The sequence below is a fragment of the Homo sapiens genome, chromosome 9, assembly GCF_000001405.40.
Source record: "Homo sapiens chromosome 9, GRCh38.p14 Primary Assembly".
Taxonomy (NCBI): Eukaryota; Metazoa; Chordata; class Mammalia; order Primates; family Hominidae; genus Homo; species Homo sapiens.
This window is the reverse complement of record NC_000009.12, coordinates 65,802,988-65,826,923: the sequence shown is the minus strand read 5'-3', so window position 1 is coordinate 65,826,923 and position 23,936 is coordinate 65,802,988. Positions and strand designations below refer to the sequence as shown.

At 43.2% G+C, this 23,936-nt stretch overlaps 1 protein-coding gene and 1 long non-coding RNA gene across 3 annotated transcripts; both read left to right on the top strand.

Moving 5' to 3' along the window:
• The first annotated feature begins 1,516 nt into the window (after positions 1-1,516).
• Positions 1,517-5,958, top strand: LOC107987071 (uncharacterized). 2 transcript variants are annotated; one of them, XR_001746686.1, is made up of 3 exons: positions 1,517-1,792; positions 3,522-3,692; positions 4,556-5,958. It is a non-coding gene; the product is annotated as an uncharacterized LOC107987071 (long non-coding RNA). The 2 variants fall into 2 exon arrangements; XR_001746687.2 differs by lacking the exon at positions 1,517-1,792 and adding an exon at positions 2,249-2,386.
• A 1,297-nt stretch (positions 5,959-7,255) lies between these two features.
• On the top strand, positions 7,256-11,163 carry LOC124902171 (formin-2-like). The gene has a single exon (XM_047424302.1). It carries the CDS (start codon positions 9,452-9,454, stop codon positions 10,073-10,075), a length of 624 nt encoding a protein of 207 aa, XP_047280258.1. The 5' UTR covers positions 7,256-9,451; the 3' UTR covers positions 10,076-11,163.
• The last annotated feature ends 12,773 nt before the right edge of the window (positions 11,164-23,936 follow it).

The following is a 23,936-nucleotide window of genomic DNA, read 5'->3' as shown; positions in this document are numbered from 1 at the left end:
TCCATGAAAATTGGTGCTTGCCAAGATCGCTGAAGGCCTCCACGCTGAAAGACTCCTCCGGTGGTCAACTCTGCCTTTACCATAGTTAACACTGCAGCGGGATCTGAACAGTGTTTCGCCTCCGTGTACAACTGGACTCCTGCGTGCCTGCAGGCTCACACTGCTTCTCCCTCTCCCTCCTAGGCACTGCTCAGGCCTCACGGCCGCAATCGCCCCATCTCGCCCATGCCAGTCTTGCTCCTCCCAGTCACTCTGCACTCACTCCCCGGCCACCTCACAGAGTTAAGTGGCATCTACATGCTGAGGGCTGTACATCTAAGTCCCTGGCCAGACCTGTCTCTCCAGACTTGACACTCCGCTTGTCTGCATGATACCCAGCCGAAACAAACATCATCTTCCCAAAACTGCATCTGCAGACAGTTTCCTATCTAACCTGCAACAACCCATCCTTCCAGGAACTTCCAGTCGCCATCCTCATTTCCTCACACACCCCACATTCAGTCCACCAGGAGATCCTACTGACCCAGCTTCCAAATAAACTCTATCCGGGTTTGACTCTTTGTCTCATCTCCACTGCTAGCCCTCTGGTTTGTGCCACCGGACTGATCTCTACCGGACTGATGTCTTGGCAGAGTGATCTGATTACCTGAATGTCTCTCCTCTGCTCAAAACCCTCCAAGGACTCCCATTTCAGAGTGAAACATTCAGTCTCTTCCAATGGCCCACAAGGCTCTAGGTAATTTTAAATTGTAAATGGTGTGAAGCAGAAACTTCAGAGTTAGCCTAGTCATGCCTTTCAAAGGTCAACACAGACTAGCAACCACTAAGCTAATGCCTAATCAGGAAACAGTCCTTTGACTAGATGAAGATCTAGGATGAAACTCCGTTTCACAAATCATATACCTAATCTGTTCCAGCTTACACAGGCACTCCTGGCCTCACTAACAAGACGCAACTCAGATGCTCACCATCAACTGTACACACATTTCTGTGTCTGTCTCCTTCAGAGTGAGATCACCGCCTCCAGCAACCTGCTCAGCACCCCCAGGCAGGAGGGCCACACCATCTCCCTTTATCTCCGCATCTGACCTTATACTCCACATGTCCTTCTGAACTCTGACCAGGATGAGTTTTCAGAGCTGGGGAGTGGAGCCTGGGCCTGCGCCTCTCCGCGCCTGCGCCGCCGCTGTGCGCCTCTCCGCCGCTGTGCGCCTCTCCGCGGCTGTGCGCCTCTCCGCCGCGCCGCCGCCGTCCGCCTCGCCGCCGCCGCCCGCCTCGCCGCCGCCGCCCGCCTCGCCGCCGCCGCCCGCCTCGCCGCCGCCGCCCGCCTCGCCTCCGCCGCGCCGCCGCCGCCCGCCTCGCCTCCGCCGCGCCGCCGCCGACCGCCTCTCCGCCGCGCCGCCGCCGACCGCCTCTCCGCCGCCCCGCCGCCCCGCCGCCGACCGCCTCTCCGCCGCGCCGCCGCCGACCGCCTCTCCGCCGCGCCGCCGCCGACCGCCTCTCCGCCGCGCCGCCGCCGACCGCCTCTCCGCCGCTGTCCGCTTCTCCGCCACGCCGGCACCGGCGCTGTGTGCCTTTGCAAGGGCGGAGCTGCGTTCTCCTCGGCACAGACCCGGAGAGCATTGCGAGGGCGGAGCTGCGTTCTGCTCTGCATAGACCTTGGGGCACTGCCTCGCTTTGGGACAACTCGGGGCCGCATCGACGGTGAATAAAATCCTTCCTGTTTGCAGCCATGTTTGTGGTTGGTGGCAGCGATGGACACTGCAGCCAGCCAGTGTAGAAAGGCATTGGGGTAAGTGCGCCATCCAGGCTGCACTGCTGGTGGCCTGGGACGGGTTGGGAGCCCTATCTCAGGCGTCACTGCCCGTCTTGGGTGGCTGGTTGGGTGTGCTATCTGGGGCTGTGCTGCCTGCCGGGGGCGGGGGGGGGGGCGGTTTGGGGGCTCAAACCGGGGCTGCACTGCCTTTGGCGGGGAGCCGGTTGGGGGCACTATCCCAGACTGTATTGCTGGCAACAGTGAGGTGGGTTAAGTGTGCTATCTGGGGCTGCACTGTGTGGCTGTGGGGGGGGGGTGGCGGTTTTGGGTTGAGGGCGCTATGGGCTGCTATAATGCCCATGGTGCGGGGAGGCGGGGAGGTTAGGGTATGTTGGGTGTGCTATTGGGGGGGGGCGACACTGCTGGTGGTAGGGGGCAGGGTGGGTTGGGGGCCATATCAGGGGCTGCACTGATTGCTTTAGCTAGGATTTCTGGTACTATGTTAAACAACAGTGGTGACAGGGGGCATCCTTATCATGTTCCAGATCTTAGAGGAAAAGCTTTCCATTTTTCCCCATTCCATATGATTCTAGCTGTGGGTGTCTTTCCTGTAGTTTTTATTATGTTGCGGTATGTTTCTTCTGTGCCTGTTTCTTTGAGGATTTATAGCATGAAGGGATGTTGAATTTCATATGCTTTTTTGGTTTCAGTTGACATGATCATACAGTTTTTGTCGTTTATTTGGTTGATATGATGTATCACATTGTATGTTGAGTGACTCTTGCATTCCAGGGATACATCCCAGTTGATCATGATGAATTATCTTTTTAATGTATTACTGAATTTGATTCACTGGTATTCTGTTGAGGATTTTTGCATCAATATTAGAGATCCTGTCCTGTAGTTTTCTTCTTTGATGCTTTTATCTGATTTTCGTATCACAGTAATAATGGTCTCATAGAATAAGTTTGGAAGTATTCCCTCCTGTTTTTCAAAATAATTTGAGCAGGATTTGTACTAGGTCTTTAAATTGTTTGGTGTGAAGCCATCAGCAGTGAAGACATCATCAGTTCCTGGGCTTTTCTTTACTGGGAGACTTTTTCTGATGGCTTCAATCTCATTACTTGTTACCAATCTGTTCTGGTCTTGGATGTTTTCATTGTTTAACCTAAGTAGGTTGTATGCATCTAGGAATTTGCCAATTTCTACTAGGCTTTCCAATTTATTGGCATATAATAGCCAGTTATGATCCTTTGAATTTCTGAAGTATTAGTTGTAATGTCTCCTTTTTTTAATCTGTTGATTTTATTTATTTGAATCTTGTCTCTTTTCTTAGGCTGGTTAAAAGTTTGTCAATTTTGTTTAGCTTTCCAGAAAACCAACTTTTCGTTTAATCTTGTGTGTTTTTTATTTCAATTTTGTTTCTGCTACGATCTTATTTATTTTCTTATTTTCGGTTTAGTTTGTTCTTACTTTACTAGTTCTTTAAGATGTATTGTTTATTTGAAGTTTTTCTTTTGTTTGGATGGTAGGCACTTATAGCTGTAAATCTCTGCCTTTGTACTGCTTTCTGCGTAACAAGTTTTGGTATACTGTGTTTTCATTACCCTTTGTTTCATGAAATTTTTGAATTTCTGTCTTAGTATCTTCATTGACCTTTATTTATTCAGGTCATTTATTCAGGAGGGTAGTGTTTAACTTCCATGTGATTGTATTGTTTCCAAAATTACTTTTCTTATTGATACCTAGTTTTATTTCTTTGTAGTGAAAGAAGATTGCCACGGAGACAGACAGCAGCATGGTCAGTGTGGTAGGAGCCGGCCATCAGCGAGAGCTGCTCCATGCCTGGCTGCTGGGAGCTAGAGCCTGCGGCCCACTGGCTTGCCTCACTGTAGTTGGTGGTGGCAGTGACAGAGACTGCAGCATGACCAGAGTGGTAGGACAGGGGCTATCCAGGGCTGCACCTTTCGCAGTGTGGGGTGGGTTGGGGGCGCTATCCAGGGTGTCATTGCCTGCATTAGGGGTACTGGTTGGTAGCACTGCACAGGACTGCACTGCCCACAGCAGGGAGGGTGGGTTATGGGTGCTTTCTGGGGCTGCAATGCCCATGGAGGAGGACAGGTTAGGGCATATCGGGTATATGCTACTGGCGGCATTGGGGGACGGAGGTGGGGGGCGCTATTGAGGGCAGGACTAGCCGTGGAGCGGGGGCGAGTTCGGTGCTATCAGGGGCTGCACTGCTGGCGGCAGTCAACAGAGTTGGCATCCAAGGAAGGAGTGGTTCTCCTCTCCCTGACTCCACACTCCAGAGGGCGAACCACTCTTGGTCATACTGGAGTGCGGCAGGGCACGCAGCGTTTGCATGGGAATCCTGAGCATGGCAGAGCCCCCACACCCACCGTGGTTCCTGGGCCTGTGCACTCTGGGTCTGTGCCTCAGAGGCTGCCAGGCACCCCTGGGGACACCACGGGGAACAGGGCCCTGTGTGTGGAGGCATCCGGAACAGGAATTAGCACCTGGGTGCGGAGGGCTGGCTGGGTCTGAATTTTTCTGCTTCTCCTGTTCCCCGAGGAGTGCAGCCCCGGTGGGCCCAGTGGTTCCTGTGGAGTGGGGAGCTGGGTGCTGTGGTGTCTCCAGCACCCACCCCAGACCCCAGTTCCCGGCCAGCTTGGGCCAAAAGGAGAGGCTGGACTTTGGAGGGTGGGTGTGAGTGCCTTTGCTGAAACTGGCCCCTGCCACCCAGTGGCCGGCATGACAACTTGAGGCTCTAACGCTTCCACTCTTCACAACTTCCTCTAGGCTTTTCTGGCTTTGCCCGCCCAGCTGCTCCATGCCAGGAGGAGGAGGAGACACCTAGAGCCTGCAACACCACGGCTCACCTCGCTGCAGGTGGGTGGCAGTGACGGAGACTGCAGTGCGCCAGAGCGGTAGGAGAGTGGCCACGCTAGGAGGGCGGGCGGCTGCAGGCAGGGTTGGGAGTCAGGCTTACAGCGATGGACGGGCTGCAGCAGTGGCCAGGTGGTAGGAGCCTTGTAGGGAGGGCTGGTGCATTGGCAATGGGCCTGGCTTTGCCCTGTGCCTGCCGTGGATCTGGCCCTGTACTGCCCTGCCTTGCCCTGTACCTGCCCTACTGTTACCTGGACTCTCAGCCCTGTCCTGCTCTGGTCCCATCCTGACCCTGTCTTGGCCCCGTGCTACCCTGTCCCTGCCCTGGTCTTGCCCTGGCACTGGCCCTGCCCTGAACCTGCACTGGCCTGACCTTGGCTCTGGCCCTGGCTCTGGCCCTGCCCCTTGTCCTGACCCTGGTCCTGTCATGGCACTGGCCCTGCCAGTGGTCATGGTCCTGCTCCTGTTCTGGCCCTGACCTGGCCTTGGAAATGTCCTGGCTCTGCTTTGGCCCATCCCTGCCCTGGCCCCACCATGGGCCTTCCTGTTCTGCCCTCTCCTGGCACTGACCTGGCCCTGTCATGGCCCAGTGGTGCCATTGCCCTGCCTTACCCTGCGCTGGTTGTGCCTTGGCCCCGCTTGGTGCTGGCCGCTTCCTGGACCTGCCCTGGACCTGCCCTGACCCTGCCTTGGCTTTTGCCCTGCCCTCACTATGGCCTGGCCCTGGCCCTAGCCCTGGTCCTGCCATATCCCTGACCCTGCCCTTATCCAGGCCCTGCCCCTGCTGCTGCCCTGGCCCTGGCCTGGAACCTGGTCCTGTCAAGGACCTGCCCTGACTCTGCCATGGCCCTGGCCCTGCTCTGCCTTGTTCCTGGCCCTGACCCAGACCCAGACCCTTTCCTGGCTCTGCACTGGTCTTTCCCTGGCCCTGAGCTGGCAGTGGTCTGCCCCTGGTCTTGCCATCACCCTGCCCTGCTGTGCTCTGGATGTGTCATCACCCTGCCCTGGCTCTACTCTGCCTTTGACCCTGCCCTGGCCTTGCCTTGGCCCTCACCCTAGTCTTCGCTAGGCCCAGCACAGACCTGGCTCTGACCCTGGCCCTGGTCTTTGTCCTGCCATAGCTTTGGCCCTGAAGTGGACTTGGAGGTGTCCTGGCCCCGGTGTAACATGGCTCTGCATTGGCCTGTCTCTGCCCTGCCCCTACCATCGCCTTGCCCTGCTCTGCCCTGTCCCAGTACTGACCCGGCCACGCTATTTCCCCGCCCTACCCTGCCTTGGCTGTGCCCTGGCTCGGTTCTGGCCCTGGCCCCGGCCCTGCCCTGCACATGCTCTGACACTGCCTCAGCCTTGGCACTAGCCTGGCTCATTCTTGGCATCAGCCCTGCTCTCTCTGTGGACCGGCTCTTGTCCTGTCCTGCACTGGCCATACCATGCCCTGCCCTGCCCTGCCCTGACTCAGCCCTGACTCAGCCTTGGCCTTGGCATTGCCCCTGGTCCTGCCATATTTCTTGCCCTGTCCCTACCCTAGCCTTGGCCCTGACCCTTACCTTGCTCTGGCCCTGCCCTTGCCCTAATGCAGCCCCTGGCCCTGTCATGACCCTGCCCTGGACCTGTCCTGGCCCTGGCCCTTCCCTGCTTGAGACCTTGCCCTGGTTCTCCCATGGCCCTGACCCTGAAATGCCTGGCCCTACCCTGGCCTTGCCCTGCTCTGGCCCTTGCCCTGACTCTGGTCCTGTCACTGACCTAGCCCCAGCCCTGTTGCTGGTCTTACCATGGCCCAGACCCTGCCTTGGCCCTGCCCTGACACTGTCCTGGACCCTGGCTGTGCCAAGAACCTGCACTGTCCTTTCCCTTGTTTTGCTCCTGCCCCAAACCTGGTCCTGCCCAGGCCGTTTCTATGGCCCTGGCCCTGGCCCTGCCCAGGTCTTGGCACTGGCCTGGCCCTGCCCTGCCCTGGCCCTATGCTTTCCTGGCCCTGCCTTGGCCCTAGCCTGGCTTTGACCCTGCCCTGGCCCTACCTTGGCCTTCACCCTAGCCTTACCAGGGCACTGTGTTGGACCTGGCCATAGCACAGACCTGGTTGTGGCCCTGGCCCAGACCCTAGCCCTGCAGGTACCGGTCCTGGCCCAGCTCTGGGCCTGGCTTTGTCCCTAATTCTTAGATGACCCTGCCCCTGCCCCTGCCCTTGCCCTTGCCCTGGCACTGGCCTTGGACATGTCCGTGGTCCTAACCCTGGCCCTGCCCTGGAGCTGCCACTGTCTTGGCCCTGCCCTGGCTCTGGCCCTGCCCCGGCCCTGGCCCTGCCCCGGCCCCAGCCATAGACCTGCCCTGGTTGGTCGTGCCCTACCTTAACCCTGTGCTACCCTGGGCCTGCTCCACCCTGCCCTGGCCCTGCCCTCCCTTTGGCCCTGCCCTGACCCCGTCTTGGCCCTCACACTGGCCCTAGCACAGACCTGGTCCTATCTGTGGCCTTGGCCTGGCATTGACCCCTGCTCCTGACCCTGGTCCTGCCATGGCCCTGGCCCTGCCAATGACCCTGGCAGCCCTTACCCTGGCCCTGAACTGGCCCTGCCCTGGCCCTGAAGTGGATTTGCAGGTGTCTTGTTCATGGTTTAACCTGGTCTTACCATGGCCCTGTCCCTCCCCTGGCTCTGTCCTGGTCTTATGCTGACCCTGACCCAGACCTTGGCCCTGCCACAGCCTTGTCCTAGACCTGGCCATGGCCCTGCGTCTGCCCTGGACCGGCACTGGCACTGGCATGGACCCTGGCCCTGGCCCTTCACTACTTAAGGCCATACCCTGGCCCAGCCCTGGCCCTAATTTGGCCTGGCTCTACCCTGGCATGCTATTCTGGCCCTAGCCCTGACCCTGTCCCTGTCCCTGTCCTGGTCCTAGCCCCGTTGCTGGTCCTGCCATGGCCCTTGTCCTGACATTGCCCTTTCCTGGTTCTGGCCCTGGCCCTGTCCCAGCCCTGCTCTGGCCCTGGTCTGAACCCTGGCCCTGCAATAGACCTGCCTTGGTCCTGCCCAGACCCTGGCTCTGGCCCTACCTCTGCCCTGGCCATACCCTTGCCCTGGCCTGGACCCCGGTCCTGGTCCTTGTCCTGCCCCAGCCGTGGCCCTGGCCCTGCCCTGCCTGTGCCCTGTTCTATCCTGGGCTGGCCCTGCCATGGCCTGGTCTTGCCATTGCCCTGCCCTAGCTTGCCCTGCTTGTGCCCTAGATCTGCCCCGCTTGTGCCCTAGATCTGCCCCGGCCTTTGCCCCATCTTGGTTCTAGCCTTGACTCAGCCCTGGACCTTCCCTGACCTTGCCTCAGCCCTGGCACTACCCTGGCATTGCCTTGGCATTTGCCCTACTCTCTCTATGGCCTGGCTGTGGTCCTGCCCTGCTCTGCTCTTGTTCTGTCCTGGCACAGCCCTGGCCCTGGCCCTGGCCCTGCCGTATCACTGGCTCTGGTCCTGCCCTTATGCAGACCTGACCCTGCCACTGCCTTGGCTTTGGCCTGGACCTTGGCCATACAGTGACCCTGCCATGACATTTTCCTGGTCCTGGCCTGGAACCTGGCCCTGCCAAGGACTCGCCCTGGCTCTGTCATGGCCCTGGCCCGTTCCTGGATTTGGATGTGTCCTGTCCCTTATTTGCCCCGGCCCTTCCCTGGCTCTGCCATACCCCTTCTCTGGGGTAGGGCCAGGGTCAGGACCAGACCAGGGCAGGGTCAGGACCAGGGTAGGGCCATGTTAAGGCCTGAAGATGGGAAGGGCCAGGGCAGCGGCTGGACCAGGGAAGGGTCAGGGCCAGGGATGTAGTAGGACTAGGGGCAGAGCCGGCACTAGGGCTGAGCCAGGGCAGAGCAGGAGAGATTACTTTAGGCTATTACTAAAATTTTTATTTTAGATTTTTAAGATAACTATAGTAGTAGTAATGTCTATACTATGTTGTTTGTAATAGTAATAATACTTGCAGTAATCACTAAATTTTAACTAATACTATCTTTGCTTCCAGTAGTGTTCTATGAGTATAATTTTATCAACATGTAAATATGTGAGGCATTGATTCTCATAATAATTCTATATGCTAGGTACTTAAAGCATCCCCATTTTCCAAATGTAGGAAACAGGCAAAAAGAAGGTAAATACTTGGCCAGATTACTCCTGTAATCCCAGCACTTTGGGAGGCCAAGGCAGGCAGATGGCTTGAGCTCAGGAGTTTGGAACCAGCCTGGGCAACATTGTGAAACCCCATCTCTACTAAAAATGCACAAAAAGAACTAATTTAAGTTTCTTGTAGGATTCTGGTTATAAAACACTGGTCAAACACACAGGGCATGGATAGGGCAGGGCCAGGGACAAGGTCAGGCCAGGAAGGGGCCAGGGCCAAGGCAGGGCCAGAGCTGGACTTGGAGGTGTCCTGGTCTGATTTGCCCTGCCCCAACGTTGGCCCAGCCCTGCTCTGGCACGTCCTGTCATGCCCTGTCCCTGGCCTGAGCATTGGCCCTGGCCCTGTCCTGCTTCTGGCCCTGCCCCGGAGTTGACCAGGCACTGCCATGGCCCAGTCCTGCATTGCCCTGCCCTCCTCTGCCCTGGTGCTACCATGGCGCTGCTTGGGCCCTAGCTCTGCCTCGACTCTGGACCTGCCCTGACTCTGCTCAGCCCTGGATCTACCCTGACTCTGCCTTGGTGTTGCCCTCCCATCTCTATGGCCTGGCTCTGGCCATGCCTTGCACAGACCATGCTCTGCCCTGCGTGCCCCAGCCTGGGCCCAGCCCTCATCCTACCATATTCCTGACCCCAGCCATACCCTTGTTCTCGCCATGACCCTGCCGTGGCCCTCTCCTGGCCCTTCCTTGATCCTGCCCTGCCCTTCCATGCCCTGGCCTTGCCCTCACCCTGCATTGGCCCTGCACTGGTCCTGCCCTGCCCTGGCACTGCCTTGGCCCTGGCCCTGCCTTCTTCCTGGCCTTGCCTTTGCCCTGCCCTGGCCTGACCCCAGGCCTACTGAGTCCATGAAATGGCCCTGGACCTGCCTTGCCATCCTCTGTCCTGGCCCTATATTGTCCCCACCATGCTCTGGTCCAGCGCTTGCCCTAGCCCTGTTGCTAGTCCTGCCACTGCTATGGCCCTGCTCTGTTTTTGGCCGTGCCCTGTGCTACCCTAGCCCTGCCCTGCCTTGGCCTTGGCCCTACCATGGCCTTCTCCTACCCTGGCCTGGCCCTACCCTGGCCTTTTCTACCCTGGCCTTGCCCTTCCCTGGTGTTGCCCTGCCCTGGCCTTGCCCTGCCCTGGCCTTGGCTTTGCCTTATCCTGGTCCTGGTTCTGCCCTGACCCTGGCCTTGCTCTGGATCCTCTCTGGTTCTGCTTTCTCCCTGGCCCTGCCCTTGCTCTGGCCCTGTCCCTGGACCAGCCTTGACCCTGACCCTGACAATCCCCAGGTCTGACACTGGCCATGCTTGGCCCTGGCCCCTCCTTTTGGCCCTGCCTTAGCCCTGTGCTATCTTAGTCCTGCCCTGGCCCTGAACTCGCCCTGGTCCTACCCTCACCCTACACTGGCCCTGCCCTATCCTGGCCTTGCCCTGCCCTGGCCCTGCCTTTGGCCTGCTCTGGCTCTGGTTCTGCCCTGGACTTGCCCTTGCCCTGGACCCTCCCTGGCCATGTTTTTCCCATGGTCCTTCTCTGGCCTTGCCCTTGCCCTGTCCCCTTTCTGGTCCTGCCATGTTTCTGGCCCTGCCCTGTCCAGGTCCTGGACCTGACTCTGGCCCTGGACCTCCCTGTCCCTGCCCTGCCATACCCTGGCCCGTTCCTTGCTCTACACTGACCCTGCCCTGCCTTGGCCCTGTGCCACCCTAGCCCTGCCCTGGCCTTCTGCTGACCCTGATCCTGCCATGGCCCTGGCCCTGCCATGTCCCTGCCCTGGCCCTGGTTCTTCCCTGCTTCTGGACCTGGCCTTGGTCCTCTCATGTCCCTGGCTGTGACCCTGCCCCTGGTTTTTCTCTGGCCATGACCCTGCCCCAGTTCTGTCCTATCCCTGGCCCTGTCTCAGTTCTGTCCTAGCCCTGGCCTTTCACAGTACTTTATGCTTAGTAAGGGCTCCATGGTGTCTGTGAGTTGAATGTTGTGTTCATAGTATCTGCCAAAACAGAAAGAAAAAAGTAAAATATTTTGATAAGAAGTTAAAGCTTTGTATATAATATGCCTTGAATTGTAAGTGCCTGTTATTAGTTGTATTACATATGGGTCATGGCTTTGTACACGTAACTCCAAACCATTGATACTGTTAAAAGGATATATGAATATATGAAAGAATGTATAAACGTAAGAATGTATCAGTATCTAATGACCTTTCCAAATTAATTTTTATTTTTAGCTCTATTAGATTTTTCTCAGTGTAACAAATGTTTATTCTTATGTAATTAAGGGTGTGTTTCCTGTACAGAATATTCATAATACCTAATTGAAAATTATATGATACAAAAATATAATACTATTTTTAGGCCAAGCATGGTGGCTCATACCTGTAATCCCAACATTTTGAGAGGCCAAGTTTGGAGAATCATTTGAGTCCAGGAGTTGACCAGCCTGGGCAACATAGTGAGACCTTGTCTTTATTAAATAAATAAATAAATAAATAAATAAATAGGTTGGGCACTGTGGCTCATATCTGGCATCCCAGCATTTTGGGTTGCCAATGCAGGAGGATTGCTTGAGCCCAGGAGTTTGAGACCAGCCTGGGCAGAATAGCAAGACTCCATCTCTGCAAATAATAAAATATTAACCAGGTGTGGTGGTGCGCACCTGGGGTCCCAGCTACCTGGGAGGCTAAGGTGGGAGGTTTGCTTGAGGCTTCAGTGAACTGTGAATGCACCACTGCATTCCAGCCTAGGCCACAGAACAGGACCTTGTTTATAAATAAAGAAATAAGTAAAAATATAAATAAAAAGTAATAACTATAAGTAAATATAAATATAAAAATGCATACATGAAAAGAAACAATTTTTAAATTTAACATCACTGAGGGCATCCTATCCATTTCATTTCATGATTCCATTACATCATTTCACTTAGATGAAATGATGACTTGAGATGAAATGATGAGATGAAATGACGAAATGATGAGATGAGATGATGAGATGAAATTTTGAGATGAAATGGTGAGTAGAAATGATGAGATGAAATGATGAGACGAAATGACAAAATTGAAAAGAAATTGAAAGGAGAGGAGATGAGATAAAATGAGATGAAATGAGATGATGGATGAAATGAGATGAAACGAGATGAAATGAAATAATGAAATGATATGAAATAATGAAATTGTAATGAGATGATATGAGATGAAATAATGAGATAAAATGATGAGATGAGATGAACGATGAGATGAAATGATGAAATGAAATGAGATGAAAAATGATGAGATGAAAAATGAAATGAAATAATGAAATGAGATGAAATGAAATAATGAAAGGAAATTATGAAATGTAATGATGAAATTGAAATGAGATGAGTTGAAATGATGAGATGTAATGGTGAAATGAAATGATGAAATGAGATGAGATGAAATGAGATGAAATAATGAGATGAAATGAGATAATGAGATGAGATGAAATCATGAGATGAAATGATGAAATGAAATGAAATGATGGATGAAATTATGAGATGAAAGATGAAATGTAATGAGATGAAATGAAATGACATAATGAAATGAAATAATGAAATGAGATGAAATAAAATAATGAAATGATGAAATAATGAAATGAAAATGAAATGGAAATGATGAGATGAGAAGAAATGATGAGATGAAATGATGAAATGATGAGATGAGATAAAATGAGATGAAATGATGAGATGAGATGAAATATGATGAGATGAAATGCCATAATAAATGAAATGATGAAATGGAATAATGAAATGGAAATGATGAGCTGAGATGCAATGAGTTGAAATGAGATGAAATGATGAAATGATGAGATGAAATGATGAGATGAGATGTGATGAAATGATGACATGAAATGATGACATAAAATGAGATGAAATGAGATGTAATGATGGAATGAGATGAGATGAAATGATAGATGAGATAAAATGATATGAAATGATGAGATGAATGATGAGATGATGAGATGAATGATGAAATGATGAGATGAGATGATGAAATGAAATGGTGAGATGAAATGATGAGATGAAATGAAATAGTGAAATGAAATTGAAATAAAATCGAAATGAGAGATGAAATGATGAGATGATGAAATAAAATGATGAAATGATGAGATGTGATGAGATGAAATGATGAGATGAAATGATGAGATGAGATGAGATGACATGAAATAATGAAATGAAATTGAAATGAGATAAGATACGAGATGAGATGAAATGATGAGATGAAATGATGAAATGATGAGATAAGATGAAAAGGGTTGAGATGATGAGATGAAATGAGATGAAAAGATGAAATGATGAGATGAAATGAAATGATGAGATGAAATGAGGTGAAATGAAATTAGATGAAATGTAATGAGATGAAATGAAATGACATAATGAAATGAAATAATGAAATGAGATGAAATAAAATAATGAAATGATGAAATAATGAAATGAAAATGAAATGGAAATGATGAGATGAGAAGAAATGATGAGATGAAATGATGAAATGATGAGATGAGATAAAATGAGATGAAATGATGAGATGAGATGAAATATGATGAGATGAAATGACATAATGAATGAAATGATGAAATGGAATAATGAAATGGAAATGAGCTGAGATGCAATGAGTTGAAATGAGATGAAATGATGAAATGATGAGATGAAATGATGAGATGAGATGTGATGAAATGACATGAAATGATGACATAAAATGAGATGAAATGAGATGTAATGATGGAATGAGATGAGATGAAATGAGATAAAATGATAGATGAGATAAAATGATATGAAATGATGAGATGAATGATGAGATGATGAGATGAATGATGAAATGAAATGAGATGAGATGATGGAATGAAATGGTGAGATGAAATGATGAGATGAAATAGTGAAATGAAATTGAAATAAAATCGAAATGAGAGATGAAATGATGAGATGATGAAATAAAATGATGAAATGATGAGATGTGATGAGATGAAATGATGAGATGAAATGATGAGATGAGATGAGATGACATGAAATAATGAAATGAAATTGAAATGAGATAAGATACGAGATGAGATGAAATGATGAGATGAAATGATGAAATGATGAGATAAGATGAAAAGAGTTGATGAGATGATGAGATGAAATGAGATGAAAAGATGAAATGAGATGAAATGAAATGATGAGATGAAATGAGGTGAAATGAAATTAGATGAAATGTAATGAGATGAAATGAAATGACATAATGAAATGAATGAAATGAGATGAAATAAAATAATGAAATGATGAAATAATGAAATGAAAATGAAATGGAAATGATGAGATAAGAAATGATGAGATGAAATGATGAAATGAGATGAGATAAAATGAGATGAAATGATGAGATGAGATGAAATATGAGATGAAATGACATAATGAATGAAATGATGAAACGGAATAATGAAATGGAAATGAGCTGAGATGCAATGAGTTGAAATGAGATGAAATGATGAAATGATGAGATGAAATGATGAGATGAGATGTGATGAAATGATGACATGAAATGATGACATAAAATGAGATGAAATGTGATGGAATGAGATGAGATGAAATGAGATGAAATGATAGATGAGATAAAATGATGATATGAAATGATGAGATGAATGATGAGATGATGAGATGAATGATGAAATGAAATGATGAGATGAGATGATGAAATGAAATGGTGAGATGAAATGATGAGATGAAATGAAATAGTGAAATGAAATTGAAATAAAATCGAAATGAGATGAGATGAAATGATGAGATGATGAAATAAAATGATGAAATGATGAGGTGATGAGATGAAATGATGAGATGAAATGATGAGATGAGATGAGATGACATGAAATAATGAAACGAAATTGAAATGAGATAAGATACGAGATGAGATGAAATGATGAGATGAAATGAAATGATGAGATAAGATGAAAAGAGTTGATGAGATGATGAGATGAAATGAGATGAAAAGATGAAATGATGAGATGAAATGAAATGATGAGATGAAATGAGGTGAAATGAAATTAGATGAAATGTAATGAGATGAAATGAAATGACAATGAAATGAAAAAATGAAATGAAATAATGAAATGAGGTGAAATTAAATGAGATGATAAAATTAAATGATGAAATGAAATAATGAAATGGAAATGATGAGATGAAATGAGATGAATGATGAGATGAAATGATGAGATGCAATGATGAGATGAAATGATAAGATGAGATGAGATGTAATGATGAGAGGAAATGAGATGTAATGAAATGAGATGAAATGAATGAGATGAAATGAAATAATGAAAGGAAATTGAATTGAGATATGAGATGAAATGAGATAAAATGAGATGAAATAAATGATGAGATGAAATGATGAAATGCTGAGGTGAGATGAAACGATGAGATGAAATGAAAGGATGAGATGAAATGATGAGGTGAGATGAGATGAAATGAGATGAAATGAGATGAAACGAGATGAAATGATGAAATGAGATGAGATGAGAAGAAATGATTTGATGAAATGAGATGAGATAAAGTGATGAGATGAAATGAAATGAAGTGAAATGAAATAATGAAATGAAATTGAAATGAGATGAGATGAAATGAGATAAAATGAGATGAAATGAGAAGAAATGAGATGAAATGATGAAATGAGATGATGAGATGAAAAATGATGAGATGAATTGAAATGAAATGAAATAATGAAATAATGAAGTGAAATGAAATGATGAATTGATGATATTGAAATGAAATTGAAAGATGAGATGAAATGATGAGATGAAATGAAATGTTGAAATGATGAAGAGATGTGACATGAAATGAGCTGAAATGAGATGAAATGAGATTAAATGATGAGATGAAAAATGATGAGATGAAAAATGATGAGATGAAATGATGAGATGAGATAAATTGAGATGAGATGAGATGAAATAATGAAATTAGGTGAAATAATGAAATGAGATGAAATAACGAAATAAAATTGAAATGAGATGAGAGGAAATGAGATGAAATGTTGAAAAGAAAGGAGGAAATGATGAGGTGAGATGAAATGATGAGATGAAATGAATTGAGATGAAATGAGATGAAAAATGATACGAAAAATGATATAAAAAATATGACATGAGATGAAATGAGATGAAAAATGATACGAAAAATGATATAAAAAATATGACATGAAATGAAATGAGATGATATGAAATGACATAATGAAATAAATGAAATTACATGAAATGAAATAGTGAAATGAAATGATGAAATAATGAAAATGAAATGGAAATGAGATGAGATGAGATTTGATGAAATGATGAGATGAAATGATGAGATGATATGAAATGATGAGATGAGATGGGATAAGATGAAATGAGATGAAATGATGAGGTGAAGTGATGCACTGTCACGTGTGTGTCTTTTTCCCAACCAACAAAAATTATAATTCATTAATTTTATTATTTAAGAATATTCTTAAGAGTTGAAGGAAAAATAATATCTGTACATTATGGGTTACAATTAAGTATAAATAATACATAAATATATTAAAACTTACAAAGAATATGTTTCGGAATCGAATATACCATGCTTCTGTGATGACAGTTATTTCATGCTGGTTGTCACAATTTTACATGAAAAACTAATGAAACAATGTTTTTAACTGTTTCTAAAAATAACAGTTTCCAAAACAGTTTTACATTCAAAATATGAAAAAGATGTCTTTGTGTTCCTTAATCTGATGAGATTTTCACACTCTGCACATGATAGTTAGATTTTTATTGTGTTGATAAATTGTATATCAAATAAAAAATGTTATTACCTCTTAAATTAGGATTTTTAGGTGATATAGGCAGAAAGGAAGGCAAGTTTTTATAACTTTGTCTAAATGAACTTTCTAAATGCCTGAGTATTAAAAGATAGCATGTCTATAAATGACAATGTATATATTACTGTATGACCTAGGACCAATCAAAACCGTTACCTCTGATAACATTATATTGTGCCCAGTATAAAATAGATATAATAATACCTCAAATCCAGGCATTGTCATTGAATATGTTAAGAATATGCAGCAAAGGTGCTTTTAAAAATACAAGCTAGTGATTGTACTAAATTTGTAAATCACATAGGATAGTGGGTCATTTTAAGAATATTATTTCAATCTATAAACGTGGATGTCTTTGCTTTTTTATGTTTTCTTTAATTTCTTTCATTAATATTTGTCATTTTTGTTGTCGAAATCTTTTACTTGGTTAAATTTATTTCTAAGTACATTTTTGTAGCTATTGTAAAAGGAATTGCTTTCTTAATTTCTTGTTTCAGCTAGTTTACTATCAATATATAGAAATGCTACTGATTTTTGTATGTTGATTTATATCCTGCAACTATATTAATTTCATGTATCACCCTGAGAAGCTTTTGGTAGAGTCTTATTTTTTTCCATGTATAAGATCACATTGTCTTTAAACAAGGACAATTTGACTGTCTCCTTTCCAATTCAGATGTCCTTTATTTCTTTCTCTCACCTAATTGTCCTGGCTAAGACTTTCACTATGTGAAATATGATTGGTGAGAATAGGCATCCTTTTCTTGTTCCAGTAAAATCTTTTTCTTGTTCACAGTAAAATCTTTCACCTTTTCCACACTCAGTATGATCTTAGCTGTAGATTTGTCCTTTATGTCCTTTGTGTTAAGGCATATATTTTCTATACTAAATTGTTGAGAAGTTTTTTGTCATGTAAGAATATTTAATTTTGCCAAACGCTTTTATTGTGTTTATTAATTTAATCATATGGTTTTCAGTATATATCCAAAGGAAAGAAAATCAGTATATCAAAGAGTTACCTGCACCCCCATGTTTATTACAGCACTATTCACAATAGCCAAGATATGGAATCAACAAAAGTGTCCATCAACAGATGAATGGATAAAGAAATGTGACATACATATATAATGGAATATTATTTAGTCATAATAAAGAACAAAATCCTGTTGTTTGTGGCAACAAGAATGCAAGTGGAGGGCATTATGTTAGGTGAAATAAGCCTGGCATAGAAATATAAACACCACATAACTACGTGTTCTCACTTATGTATGGAAGCTAAAATTTTTAATCTCGTAGAAGTAGATAGTAGAGTTTTGGTTACCATATCCTGGAAAGAGTAGGAGAAAGAAGAGTATAAGAAAAATGTGCTTAATACATACAAAATTACAGCTGGAGAGAAGGAAGAAGTTCTAGTTCTCTACAGCACTGTTGGGTGACTGTAGTTAATGGGAATTTATTGTGTGTTTTCAAATAACGAAAAGAAAAGATTTTGAATATTCTCACTGCAAAGAAATAATACATGATTTAGGTAATGGATATGATAATGACTCTGACTTGATCTTTACGCATTGCATAAATATATCAAAATATCACTCTGTACCCCATAACATGTACATTTATTGTATGTCAATTAAAGTAAATTTAAAAGAGAAAAAATGAGGTAAAGGTAAATGTACAGAATTTAATTACTTTTTCTTCTATAAAACCCGAGTCAGTACCAAGAAGAGTCAATTTATTAGTTTTCTAAAATAAAAAAAATCAAAATCACCAAAAAAGAGCAATATCCAAGAAAACATTGAAAAGGAAACACAACATTTAGTAAGAATAGAAAACTTGGGCACTGTATCACCCTGTTCCTAGATACCGATTTACTGATGGCCATTTAAATAGAATTTTATTCTATCTAATTCATTTATACTCCCAGAGTTTGAAATTACATTTTACCTACAATAAATGAGATAACACTTGTAAATTATATGGTACTCTGCCTAACACACGTTAATAACTCAATAGATGTTAGCAATAAACTTTTAGTATAGTAGTCAAAGTATTAATTTCTCACATTGCAATTTCCTTCAAAGACATAAATACAACCTTTCTAATTACTCCTTGTTCATCAAGATACCTCTTCAAATTATTCTATTTGTTTCATTCAGTATATTATCTGTGTATACCGATATTACACTCTTTTCTTTTTTTGAGATGGAATCTCATTCTGTTACTGATGCTGGAGTGAGGTGGCATGATCTCGGTTCACTGCAACCTCCACCTCCCAGGTTCAAGCGATTCTCCTGTCTCAGCCCCCCAAGTAGCTAGGACTACAGGTGCACACCACCATGCCTGGCTAATTTTTGTATTTTTAGTACAGTCAGAGTTTCACCCTGTTGTCCAGGCCGGACTCGAACTCCTGACCTCAGGTGATCCACCCACCATGGCCTCCCAAAGTGCTGGGATTACAGGCATAAGCCACCGCACCCAGCCTGATATTGCACTCTTGGATTTTGAACACTGAATATCTTTTTGAAAGATTACACCTCTTTACCTCTTCGTGCTTCAGAAATTATTTTCCTTCAAGTGTTCTAAGAGGCTAATGAAGAATGAAGTCATGTTTTATCACTTTTGTCCTTAAAGATTTCAGACATGCTGAAACTGATTGAAGTATCATTTGCTACCAGATAGATTAGTTATCTCTAGTTGTAGGAGTGGATACATCTTTAATGGTATATTTTGGTTTATTGTCTTATTTTTGATGTAGTATTCTATCAATAATTTATTAAACCTGGCATCCTTGAGTGAGCATGGATTTTTCAACTTCGGTGTTATATTGTGTTTGCTTTTAAAAACTGCTTTTGAGGCCAGGTATGGTGGCTCTTGCCCATACCCAGCACTCTGGGAGGCCAAGGTGGGCGGATTACCTCAGGTCAGGAGTTCAAGACCAGCCTGGTCAACATGGCAAAACCATGTCTCTACTAAAAACACAAAATTAGCCAGGCATGGTGGTGCATGCTTGTAGTCCTAACCACTCGAGAGGCTGAGGCAAGAGAATCACCTGAACCTGGGAGGCAAAATTTGCTAGGTTGCTGTGAGCCAAATTCGCATCATTGCCCTCCAGCCTGGGTGAAAAGAGCAAAACTCTGTCTCAAAATAAAAAAAAAAAAAACGACCAAAAACTGCTTTTGAATGGAGTTGTACATACAATTTTGATGAAAAAAATTACCAAGTGCATAAGTTCATAATAGAAAAACCAATAATACTCCAGGCACAAGTTAGTACTAAAAAAATTATGTTGAATATGCTCTAATACAACATGCTTTTTCCCTTCATGAACAATTTGTGTTTTACTGAGAAGAGTCATTGTTTATGGTAGACATTAGACTACAGATGAATATGCACTTTAAACACTCTTAGTTGCTTTCTTAATTTTATATCTGCTGCTTTATGCTTCTGTTTATTTTCATTCTTTCCAATGTCCACATTCTAGTAAATTTGAATATTTTAATCCAAGTTTATATACTATTTAATATTGCTTGTATAGTTTAGTATTGTTAAGACTCAAAAAGGTTTACAGAAAGAAGAAAAAGATCAACATGTTATTAATCATTTAAAGATCATTTTGAAATCTTTGACCTTTATATTTTAATGAATAAAATATTAGTAGTTATTAGTATAAAATAATTTATGTCTTTTGGACTTAGCATCCAGTATTTCTTTTTTAATAAAGAAAATAATTATTCTCTTGCAATATACTATGTTTACCTGGGTTTTGAAAAGTGATGTTTCCTAATATGAGAAAGCCATTTACATTTTTAAATCTACAAAGGCAAATGGAATGGTACTAAATTATTTATATAATAATGTTTAGATGGTGGCCCTTATAACATTCTTTCTATACTTCCTACAGAGTTGGGGATATGCAATCCTGGAATATTTCTGGGAGCTAATCCTTTAGCTTGATGAATGAAACAAGACTTTTAAATAAAATTAAACTTTCAAATTATCCAGGTAATGGGCCTGTCTTTTAATTCAATGGATATGGAGCATAATGAATTATCCCCTGTTCATTGGGTAATAAGTTCTCATTCTTAATTTATAATACTCAAAATATCCTTTAATTTTTAATTTTTGATAGTCATATCATTATCCCTAGGTATTTTAGCTTCTATCTTAAATTCTAAAATAATTTTGAGACAGGAGAAAGTATTCTTTATTACTATATGTATTAAACATCATGGTTTTCAAATTTAACTGCAAATGTATCTTTTCATTGCTTCTTGGTGACGCCCTTCACCCTATCCATATTGTCACTACCAAGTGGTGATTACTTTTCAGGTTCACATACTTATTCTTTAGAAAAATCTTCTCTGTGCCTTATAAAGAATATGATTGTTGGCATTGAAAAGCCAGTGAAATATACATTATTAGCCTGTTGCCTAACTCATTTATTTAAGAAACTACACTAATTACCCACATACTTATGTTTTTATTTACTCATTATTTCTGGAGAAAACAAATACTGCTAACATGATATTTGTAAGAGAGAAAAAAGTCTTTTCTTGAAAAGTGCTGTCATTGTAGTACTAACTTATAGTATCAACTTCTTTATCAACTCCTTATACACTTTTTATTCTGAGAGAAATAAAAAAGCTAAAAGTGAAATGACTTTGTAACTCTCCATATTATAAGCACCCATCTTGGTAATTTAGGGTCTTTATAGTTAGGGTAAGTTGTGTCATACCGAGGTTACAAAATAAAAAGTATTTTGTCTCTTTGGGCCTTTCCTTATTCAGTAATACTGTCAGTTTGGCTTTTTTTGTAGGTCAACTTATTGAACTCAGTATTCTGAAATAATGTGTTTACTATCTTTTGATAAGCATTTAAAATATTAGATTTATTGTTACTCGTCTGCCTTCATTGGGCTGGAAGAATAATTGTTTCACTCCACAAAAGCCAAGTTGCAGAGAAAAACACATAGACATTCAACTGCAAAGCAGAGAAACTTGACTATTTTCTGCAATTTTAAAGTGTATATTGAATAAAACCATCTTTTTATTTTCTTTTTTGCTCACTGGCAACTATTAACAACATCAAGTGCGTTATTATAATGTTATCTAGTTAAAAATCTCAAAAAGTTTTCATAATTACCATTTAAAAATATATAAATAAGTGACCTAATGTTAATTTTTATTGTCTGAGACCATGTCTGTTATTTCACTCTTTAAATTCAGTTAGTAATGCAGAACCTAGCACTTAGTAGATACTCAAAAATTATTTGCTGAATAAAAAAAGGTTAAACATGTAATATACACAAAATGTACTGGAAAAAATGCACCAAACAATTTTGTTATACCAGTTTAATGTAAATATTGTCTTTAAAAGATAATATAGTTTTCAGGTGTCTACAGTGATTTTGTAATATTTGTGCACATATAAAGTAATATTTCCAAAAATGTAATCCAGTGGGGAAATATACTTTCTAAATTCTAGATTTATAATTTAGGGTTTAAATTATAAAATCATTAAATAAGACACAAGTGAAATATAGTCAAATATCCCCTTGGAAAAAAATTAAGTGGCCTCTAAAGTGAGGTATTCATATATGTAATTTTACAATCCTCTAGTGATAGAATTAATTAAATATGCCACCAAATTGATTAATTCCTACAGTGTTAAAAGAGAAGCACTAACAATGCCAGTGACCATGTAACATGGATTTAAGCTACAAGTCATAGAAATGTGATGAGAAGCCTCAGCACTGTAAAACCGAGGGTGGAGGAAAGCTTTTCCTCTCTCAAATGAGCTTTGCGAGGTATACTTCTTGAAGGATAGGAAGTTGAAGTGTTCAGGACTTTTATGTCTATTCTACTTTGGCTTAGTTTACATGATTCTTAGTTTATTAGCCTAGAAATGGCCAAGAAAACTTAAGGCTCAATATTTAGTTATAAATATGAAATATCCCCAATTTTTAAGATAAAAACAACTTATAAATGTATTTGTCTGTAAAAATTGTGTATATTTTTACAGAACATCTATTTCTTTCTTTATTTTTTTATTTTTTTTATACTTTAAATTCTAGGGTACACATGAACAATGTGCAGGTTTGTTGCATATGTATACGTGTGCCATGTTGGTGTGCTGCACCCATTAACTCATCATTTATGTTAGGCATATCTCCTAATGCTATCTCTCCCCCCTCCCCCCACCCCACAACAGGCCCTGGTGTGTGATGTTCCCCTTCCTGTGTCCAAGTGTTCTCATTGTTCAATTCCCACCTATGAGTGAGAACATGCGGTGTTTGGTTTTTTGTCCTTGCGATAGTTTGCTGAGAATGATGGTTTCCAGCTTCATCCATGTCCCTAGTAAGGACATGAACTCATCATTTTTTATGGCTGCATAGTATTCCATGGTGTATAATGAACCTGAAACGGGAAAGGGCGAGATTAACTAAGCCTGTTTGCCATGGACAGCAATGGGGTTGCTAGAAGATTAGCTGTGTGGAAAAATTATGCATTTACCTTTGGGCATAATAAAATGCAATTGACTCTCCATATTCATGGGTTCTGCATCCACTGATTCAAACAACTGTGGAACAAAATTGTCAGAAAAAACAATACAACGATAAAAAATGATACAAATAAAAAACAACATGGTATACCAACTATTTACGTAACATTTACATCGTATTAATTGTTATTAAGTAATCTAGAGATTATTTAAAGTATATAGGAGGATGTGTGTAGGTTATATGCAAATACTACACTATTTTATACCAGTAACTTGAGCATCCATGGATTTTGGTATACAAGGGGGATCCTGGAACCAATTCCCCATGCATATCAAAGGATGACTGTATGAGTTATCTGTAAAATGGTTTGGTTGAAATGTTTAGAAAACAGCTAGAAATACAAGACTGGCTGTTGGATGAAAAAAACATAGGACTAGGAAATTCAGGTATGCTAGTCTTTTTGAGTATTGCTTAAAGCCATGGGAAAAGAGCTCTCTGTGAGTTCCAAGACAGATGCAAGGACTGGCATTCATGCACAGCTTCTAACAGATAAATCTGAAGAGTTCTTAGTATGCATGTTGACTGAAATTACTTTAGAAGTAATTTTTCTCCTGGTGATAAAAGGCATGTAAGGCTATTTTAGGAAATTGAAAAATGCAAAAAGGTATAAAGAAAAAGAAAAGATAATCATTAATAGTACGTTAGTAAACAAGACTTGACTAAAGATACGACTTTCCTCCCGCTTGTTTTCTTATGCATATAAAGGGATAGGAAATATGTATGTATGTATGTGTGTGTATAGGATCATGCACTGTATATAGCTTGCTTCTTTTTCCATTATGATAATTTT